The 9,855-nt window shown below is 38.8% G+C and overlaps 1 protein-coding gene across 1 annotated transcript; it reads left to right on the plus strand.

Annotated features, from left to right (window-relative positions):
• The first annotated feature begins 429 nt into the window (after nt 1–429).
• Nucleotides 430–9,536, plus strand: LOC124901689 (uncharacterized). Its single transcript, XM_047421158.1, has one exon. The coding sequence runs from the start codon at nt 6,089–6,091 to the stop codon at nt 7,046–7,048; it is 960 nt and encodes a 319-aa protein (XP_047277114.1). The 5' UTR covers nt 430–6,088; the 3' UTR covers nt 7,049–9,536.
• The last annotated feature ends 319 nt before the right edge of the window (nt 9,537–9,855 follow it).

Consider the following 9,855-nt stretch of genomic DNA (forward strand, 5'->3'; position numbering starts at 1 on the left):
GCAGCCATTGTGCCTACTATGAGAGCCATCACAGTTCCTGTGTCCTAGCCAGACTGACAGGACCGTACTAAGGCTCTGGCTCTTCCCTCTAGCTCAGAAGAAGAGCTGCATGGGATCTGGGTCCCCCAGTGCAGCAACCAGGCAAATACAACTCACAAGTCTGGAGAAGATTACATCCTGTGAGAGATGAGATAAAGAAAAGAACCAACAGATAAATTCCTTGCTTTTCTAGTTCCATCCCCTACTCTCTTGCCCACATCCTCAGCCCCAACCAAACCTTCACACTGGATGGATGGTTCTATGATCGGTCCCTAAAGCCATTTTCCAGGTCCCCAAATTCATGCCAAGCCAAAGTGCACTGTTAAAACTGGTTATGAAATATAGCAGACAAAGAGCATACCCTACACCCACGCACTCCAAAAAGTACGAAAGGCTGTGGAACACAGCCCACAAGACAGATATCTGAGAAAACAGAAACAGAGTCTGCTGGGTTGGCAGCAACCTCCTTGATACAACAGAGAGTCCTTGCCACTCTTGACCAACAGGGCTTGATATTTGCTGTGGACCAGTGACAGTTGGATGTTTTTCACTCTGTCCCTTTCCAAATGGAAGCTTATTCTGCAGTTTTTCCTGCTTTTTAATCATTGCATATGATTGTGTTGGGAACCAGTAACTTTTATTTCAGTTTACATGTCATCTGACCCTAGGGAAACACAAGGAGACCTGATGGAAAGGCATGAACAAAGATCCTGAACTTTGAGAAGAAAGTAAGAGAATTAGATAAACAGGAAGAAAAATGTGACATTGGTGCCAAAGAGGTGGATTATGAAAATTCTCTTTACCAGCATGATACAACCGTACTCTAGTTCCTTTATCTCTGCTTGCAATAGCTGCTATTCCTTAATTTTTTTTTAATATTTGCCACTCTGGGAGGTACAAAGCAATATGACAATGTTAATTTAGTTTTCATTTTTATGACTTCTAGTGCATTAGAGCCTCTTTTTAATATATTTATTGGCTATTTGGATTTGCTCTTTTGTGAACTGCATATTCATATCTTGTGTTTATTTTTCCACCAAGTTGTTTGGGATTTTTGGTCAACTTATAAGAGTTCTGTGTATATTAATTATAGTTATAAACCCTTACTAGGTCCATCATCTGCTTTGCAAATATTTGTTCCAAATCTAATAATTGTCAGTTAGCACATTGCTTACAGTTCCTTTTGCCATACAAAATTTTTAGTATTAAATTCTCAGATATATTAATCTTTAAAAATATCTTCCAGGATTCTTTAAATTCAGGTTTTTCTTTCCGCTAGATATTCTTCTAGATTTTTTCTAAAATTCTTATTTTAATTATTATATTTAAGTCTTTTAACTGAAATTGACTTTTGAATATGTGAGATGTAGGAATTCAATTCTTTTTCTTATAAAGGGACAGTCAGTTGTGTCAACACCAATTATTAAATAAACATTTTTTTCCCTAAATTGAAATAATAATGTCAACATCTTAAATTTTCATCTTTCCTGTTGTGGATGGACTATTTGTCTACTCCTATGCCAGTTCCACATGCTGGATTATGGTGGTTTTATGTTCTGATATCTGAGAAATCCTCCTCATTATTCTGCTTCTAGATACATGTATTTTTCTTGGCTATTTGTGAGTATATTTTTCTTCCAGCTGAACTTTAAAGTCATTGTATATAGTTCTAATAAACAAATCCAAGTTAGTATTCTAATTGGAATTGCAAGAAATATATTAATTGAGTTGAGATAATTAGCTTTTTTTTTTAGACAGCGTCTCACTCTGTTACCTAGGCTCACTGCAACCTCAGCCTCCTGGGCTCAAGCAATTCTCATGTCTCAGCCTCCTGAGTGGCTGGGATTATAGGTGTGTGCCACCATGCACAGCTAATTTTCGTATTTTTTGTAGAGACAGGGTTTCACCATGTTGGCCAGGCTGGTCTTGAACTCCCAGGCATAAGCATTCTGCCTGTCTCAGCCTCCCAAAAAGCTGGGATTACTAGCATGAGCCACCATGCCTGGCCTATAATTAGCTTTTTCATAATTAAATCTTATCCAAGAATTTGGTGTGCCTTTCAATTTGTTCACACCTTGATTTTTATATTGAAAATGTTATAGTTTTGTTCATGTCGATCCTTTATTTATTTTGTTAAAATTTTTGATGAATTGATTGCATTAATGACATCACAGGGAGACTACATTTTTCCATCTCATGTAACTTGCTTTGGTCAAAAGAATGCAGAAGTGACAGTATGCTATTTCTACTCCTAGGCTTTAATATGCCTTGTATGTTTCTGCTTGTTCTATTTTACCTTTCCCATAGCCATGAAAATAGCTTCTCCCATAGTTGCTGCCCCTTTAACCTGGATACAGGCCCTGAAACACAGTCATCTACCCAAGCCCAGCCAAGAATTATGGGTGAAAATACCTCATATGATGATCCATGCAAAGGTACCATTTGCCGTTCCCACCGTGCTCTTATGAGGAAAGCAGCTCCCTGTTTTATCTGCATGAAGTTGTTGTGACTTACGCCATATACATAAACTATAACAAACCCTGCCATTTTGATCACAGCAGATTGGAACAGATGTTGTAGTATATTATAAAGGCAGACAATGTAAGTTGATCATTAGGAAGAACTAATCCTTCAAGAAACTTGGAGTAAAACTGCCCAAGAGGGATGCTCTGTATCAGATGCTAACATCAACACAATCCATTCTTCTTGTTAAGGATGAAGTCATATGTACACAGAAGTGAGTCACCACAGCACGATAAGCAATTGCACGATAAGCAATTGCTCCATTTCTCCATGTAACTTGCTCACATGCCTATCTTGGAAGTGCTGAATATTCTCTTTGGGTCTGACCTATGAATGTCAACAAATCTCTACTTTCTCCACATGTCACTTGACTACTGTTTAGCCTTTTATTCTTCAACAACAGTAACTAATCTTTAAAAACATTTACCATATAATAACAAAAATAGTACTGAAGAGTTCCAGTATTTTATGTTTACATGTCTTATTTTGTTTAATCCTAATAAACTAATCTATAAGGTGCTTATTGTTGTCTCCTTTTTACAGATAAGGAAACTGAGGTCTACAGAGGAAAAAATAACAGCTTCGGTGTCACATAGGTTGTAAGCAGAGGAACTGGGCTACAAATCCGGATCTGTCTGGCTCCAAGGCCAGACTTCTACACTTCTATACAGCAGTGGTTCTCAAAGTGTGGTCCCCACACCAGCAGCATCAGCATCACCTAGGAACTTGTTAGAAATGCAAATACAGTCCCACCCAAGCATACTGAATCAAAAACTTTGAGGCTAGGGCCCAGGAATCTGTTTTAACAAATCCTCCTCACTAAGATTCTGATCCCTGCTCAAGTTTGAGAACAACTGCTGTATATCACACTACCTTTACATAATAATATTAAGGGAAGTAAATAAGTCTGTGAGCAGAAATTATCTGAAAGACTTCCTAAAGAAGGTATACTGTAAGCCAAGCCTTAGAGGATAGAGAGAATATAAGTTGGTATAAACAGTGGCACTGTTTCTAGCATTTATTCCTATCTTCTTTATGGTACTATGAACTTTGAAGGAAGTATAATACAATGCTCAGTTCAGTACTGATACATATATATACTCAAGGCATTTTGTTCAATGAATAAAATTTTTGATAAAGGGTACCTAAATATACCAAATATAATCTTGTTTCAGGCCTTAAGTGAAATTGATTTTTACACTTCTGGATAATCTATGTACAGCCAATTATATTTCAATGTTCTTATCTTTAAAGTCTATCTCGAACTCTTAAACCCCTCAGCACAAAGTGTTCAGGCCCTTATCTTATATGGCTCTCAGCATGAGTGCCACGTGCTTCTGTAACACTGTGAAGATAACACGGACAATTATGGTCAATTAGCTTTAACAAGTAGATTATTGCCTGAACAGTTGAAAGAAGACACATCAAATTTAGTCTTGTTAAATTGAGAATTTTTAAGAATGGGAGAAAAAAATTAAATCCTATGAAAAAGAAAAATAATACATTTTGTAGAATATGAGATATACTTCATTCATTAAAATCTGAAGTGGGCCCCATATCTAATATATAGAAGATTATAATTGGTATTTCCATTCTAATTCATACAATGCTAAAATGTTAAGATTGTGAATTCTCTTCTATTAGAGATAGTTCCATTGGTACAGATCACATAATAAAAATAATATATATTTATTTTTCATAGTAGCAAAGCCCTTGCCATAATTTTGATGAGCACTCTTTAGATATGCATTAGCACATAAATGCTTATATAATTTTGAATTCATAGAGTGCTCCCTAAAAGAATCTTATGTCCTAAAAACTTATACCCAAAATGGCCTGAATGATAAAAGACTTTTCACTGTGAGAAATGTGCTCCTCCCCCAAAAGCAATTGGGAAATGAGAAGCAACAAGCAAACAAGAGGCAGATAAGGCATGTCTTAATCAAATATATATATGGAGTCTTAAATATTCTTGCATACTTTTACATTCTTACATATACAGAAAGATTTCTTTAGGAAGATGGCTATTTTTGTTAATATATATATATGTGTGTATCATAACTTCCTCCAGGACACTTTAAAATACGGATCTAATTTGACGGAATCTAGACTGCCGGAAAAGAAGTAGTTCACAGCTAAGATAAATAAAATTTAAAGGACAGAGATCAATGTCTATGGAATTCAAAATGCTTTGAGCCAACATGTAAAAGCTATATTATAGCCTATTGCTTAGGACAGAGAAGTCATACTTACAGCAAATAAAAGCCTGATCCAGGCAGTTAAGGTTTATAATCTCCCTCCCTTCAGTGTGGGCTGGACTTAGTGACTTGCTTCTTACAAATAGAATATGGCAAAAGTGATGGCATATCACTTCTGAGATTTGTTTTCATAAGTTGTGGCTTTCATCTTAGATGCTGTCTCTCACTCCCTCGCATACTTGCTCTGAGAGAAGTCAGCTTGCTATGTTCAGGGCCCACATAGCAAGGAACTGAGGGAGGCCAACAGCCAATAAAGAACAGACACATAAGGCCAACATTCCAAGAGGAAGTGAATCCTGCCAACAACCACAGAAGGGAGCTTGGTAATGCATCTTTCCCCAGCCAAACCTCAGATGAGATTGCAGCCCTATCCAACAGCTTAGCAATAGCCTCACAAAAGACCCATAGTCAAGACTCATAGAAAATATGAGATAATGAATATTTCTTATTTTAAATCATTAAGTTTTAGGGATAATTTGTTAAGCAGTGGTAGAAAACTAAAACAAAGGATGATTTGGAGTCCTGAAGAGAAGCTAAAATAGAACTCACAACTATAGCTCAGCATTGACTCAAACTTGAAAAGGGGAATGTATTTTTGATGTGTGTAATGCAAAGGTCAATCCCTAGGTAAGAGAAAAGATCTTGAGACTCAGGTAGTAATGACAGCAGAAGAGATTGGAAAGATGAATCCAGGTTCTATATCCTTCTCAAGTAACCCAGTAAAATGAGAATTTACTTTTAATTTTCCTTAAAATATATGCCTCAAAATTCCTTTGTGAAATATAAACATTTGGTTGTACATTAGAATTAACTCTTCTGGACTATGTTAAAGAAAAAGGTAGGAAAATGGGGAACTGATATGGTTAGGTTGTGTCCCCACCCAAATCTCATCTTAAATTGTAACTCCCACAATTCTTACATGTCATAGGAGGGACCTGGTAGGAGGTAATTGAATCATGGGGGTAGGTCTTTCCCATGCTGTTCTCCTGATAGTGAATAAGTCTCATGAGATCTGATGGTTTTAAAAAGGTGAATTTCCCTGCACAAGGTCTCTCTCTCTTTATCTGCCGCCATCCATGTAAGATGTGACTAGCTCCTCCTTGCCTTCCACCATGATTGTAAGGCCTCCCTAGCCATGTGGAACTGTAAGTCCATTAAACTTCTTTTTCTTCACAGTCTCGGGTATGTCTTTATTAGCAGCATGAAAATAGACTAATACAGTAAATTGGTACCAGTAGAGTGGAGCACTGCTGAAAAGATACCTGAAAATGTGGAAGCGACTTTGGAACTGTATAACAGGCAGAGGTTGGAACAGTTTGGAAGGCTCAGAAGAAGGCAGGAAAATGTGGAAAAGTTTGGAACTCCCTAGAGACTTCTTGAGTAGCTTTGACAAAAGTGCCGATAGTGATATAAACAATAAGACTGAGGTGGTCTCAGATGGAGATGAGGAACTTATTGGGAACTGGAACAAAAGTGACTCTTGTTATGTTTTAGCAAAGAGACTGGAAGCATTTTGTCCCTGCCCTAGAGATTTGTGGAACTTTGAACTTGAGAGAGATGGTTTAGGGTATCTGGTGGAAGAAATTTCTAAGCAGCAAAGCAGTCAAGAGGTGATTTTAAAGCCATTCGGTTTTATAAGGGAAGGAAAGCATACAAGTTCAGAAAATTGGCAGCCTGACAATGAGATAGAAAAGAAAATCCTGTTTTCTGAGGAGAAATACAAGCCGGCTGCAGAAATTTGCATAAGTAATGAGGAGCCAAATGTTAATGGGGGAAATGTCTCCAGGACATGTCAGAGGTCTTCACAGCAGCCTTTCCCATCACAGGCCTTGAGGCATAGGAGGAAAAAGTGGTTTCATGGGCAGGTCCTAGGGTCCCCATGCTGTGCGGCGCCTAGGGAGTTGGTCCCCTGTGTCCCAGCCACTCCAGCCATGGCTGAAAGAGGCCAATGTAGAGCTTGGGCCATGGCTTCAGAGGGTGCAGTCCCCAAGCTTTGGCAGCTTCCACATGGTATTGAGCCTGCGAGTGCACAGAAGTCAAGAATTGAGGTTTGGGAACCTCCGCCTAGATTTCAGAGGATGTATGGAAATGCCTGCGTGCCCAGGCAGAAGTTTGCTGCAGAGGTGGGGCCTTCATGGAGAACCTCTGCCAGGTCAGTGCAGAAGGGAAATGTGGGTCAGAGCCCCCACACAGAGTCCCTACTGGGGCGCGGCCTAGTGGAGCTGTGAGAAGAGGGCCACCATCCTCCAGACCCCAGAACGGTAGATCCACTGACAGCTTGCACTGTTCACCTGGAAAGGTCACAGACACTCAACTCCAGCCCATGAAAGCAGCCAGGAGTGAGGCCATGCCATGAAAAGCCACAGGGATGGAGTTGCCCAAAACAGTGGGAACCCACCTCTTGCATCTGTGTGACCCAGAAGTAATACATGGAGTCAAAGGAAATCATTTTGAAGCTTTAAGATTTGAGTGCCCTGCTGGATTTTGGACTTGCATGGGGCCTGTAACCACTTTGTTTTGGCCAATTAGTCTCCCGTTTGGAATAGCTGCATTTACCCAGTGCCTGTACCCAATTGTATCTAGGAAGTAACTAACTTGCTTTTGATTTTACAGGCTTATAGGCAGAAGGGACTTGCCTTGTGTCAGATGAGACTTTGGACTGTGCACTTTTGAGTTAATGCTGAAGTGAGTTAAGACTTTGGAGGACTGTTGGGAAGACATGATTTGTTTTTTAAATGTGAGGACATGAAATTTGGGAGGGGCCAGGGTGGAATGATATGGTTTGGCTATGTCCCCACTCAAATCTCATCCTGAATTGTAACTCCCACAATTCCCACGTGTTGTGAGAGGGACCCAGTGGTAAGTAATTTAATCACTGGGGCAGGTCTTTCCTGTCCTGTTCTCATGATAGTGAGTAAGTCTCACAAGATCTGATGGTTTTAAAAAGGGGAGTTTCTCTGCACAAGCTCTCTCTCTGTTTGCCAGCTGCCATCCATGTAAGACATGACTTGTTCCTCCTTGCCTTCCACCATGATTTTGAGGTCTCCCCAGCCACGTGGAACTGTAAGTCCATTAAACCTCTTTTTCTTCCCAGGCTTGGGTATGTGTTTATCAGCAGTGTGAAAACAGACTAATACAGGAACTATAAGAGGAAGAAAAAAAGACTAGAGAGACATTTGACCCTACAAGGTTAGCCTTTGAGAGAGAAAGTTTCCTACTTGGGCTTTCTTAAAAAAAAAAAAAAAAAAAAAAAAAAAAAAGACTCACTATAGCACTTATTTTGTAGTACAATTATTGGTTTATCTATCATATGTACCAGACAAAGAGAAACTTGGATAGAAATTGGGCCTTATTTAGATATGTATTCTAACACATTTTTCAGGGTAGAACAAAGTAAGCATTTATGTATTTAGTGAATAGCATTTATGTATTTAGTGAATAAATATATCAGTGAGTAACTCTAATGGTTAGGGTTCCTTATTATGGTGTCATATTGAAAGTATCAGATTACACAGAATGAGATATCTCAATTTAAGAGATAACTTAAGAAGTTCTTGGTTCCATTTAAGATGGTGTTAAGCCTGCTACACCCTAACTCTCCTATCGTACATCATTGAGTTTACCAGCTTAGACATCAGGGCAGCCCAAATCCTAGAACTGTGCAGCAAGTGTGGGCAGGAAAATCTCCAAAAGAAGTATTATTTTTATTATATCAGAAGACTGGGTAGAAGCATGCCTGAGAGTGTGGAAGAAATCTCTGGGTTTTGGTTTATTTATTTATTTATTGTTTTCTCTATTCCAGCCCTACCCCAAAGTAAGCCCCCATGTGAGGGCAGTGACAATGGTGGTTATACAGATGCCAAAAAACCACAGAAAAAGCACTTATCTATAGCCAGAAGACCCAGGAAAGAGCCCTCTGACCACCCCTGAAGGGCGTGGCAAAAAGTCAGGTTATTCCTCTTTCCTCTTGCCACTGTGTGGCAAATAAAGACTCAGTTATAGGAAAGGCACAACAGTGTGAGAAGGCTAAAACTCAGAGAGAAACTGCAGCTTTCTAGCCAGAGAACTGGGATAAGAGATGCCTGGAAGCTGGGGAAATCACAGAAGAGGTGAAGTGCTGAAGGAATCACAGAAGAGGTGAAGAGCTGAAGAAGAAGATTCTGTAAATTTGTGTACCTCTGTATGAACTGACAGAAGTCTTAGGCTCACCCACAAGATGAACATGCTCAAGACAGGCCAAAAAGAGCAACATGAAGGCTTTAGAACTGACCTAGAGTGTAGACTCCACAGAGGTCCCAGACTGGCACCCAGCGGCACACACATGGGATAGATACAAACAGCTGTAAAGTCTTTAAAAACTGAACCACTGCCTACAGAAGGTAGTCAGAACATGTAGTCTAAACGTCTCTGGGTTGATTATCTACTAAAGCAACCAGAACAACAAAACCAACAATTTCCAGGAGATTTTTACATGACCACAAGGCTCATAACATAACACTCAAAATTTTCGTGATAAAATCCAAAGTTACTTGGCATATAAAGAACCAAGTAAATCTAAATGGATCATAAGAAAAAAGCAATCATGAAATGCCAATTCCAAGATGCCAGAGGTTGGAATGATCGGACAAATATTTTAATTCAGTTATTATAATCATCTTCAAGTATAGTCATCTTTTGCTAATGTGATTGTTGTAATAAACTGTCTTTCATCTTTGACCTGGAGGCTTCATGTTTTTCTGCCAGTATCTATGAAACTGTGACAGACAAACTTGTTAGTTGACAAGTACAGTAAAATCTTCACAATTCCTGACATGAGAGTTTAACAAACATCAAAAATGAAAGAAAGAATATATCACAATTCCTGACATGAGAGTTTAACAAACATCAAGAATGAAAGCAAGAATATCACCACAGGTCCTAAAGATATTTTAAAAAATAACAAAAGAATACTACAAAAAAATGATATGTCCATTAATTCAACAACATACACGAAATAGACTAATTCTTCTGTCTTTCACACAAAAAGGATTCAGTA

This window comes from Homo sapiens, chromosome 7, assembly GCF_000001405.40.
Source record: "Homo sapiens chromosome 7, GRCh38.p14 Primary Assembly".
NCBI classification, from domain to species: Eukaryota; Metazoa; Chordata; class Mammalia; order Primates; family Hominidae; genus Homo; species Homo sapiens.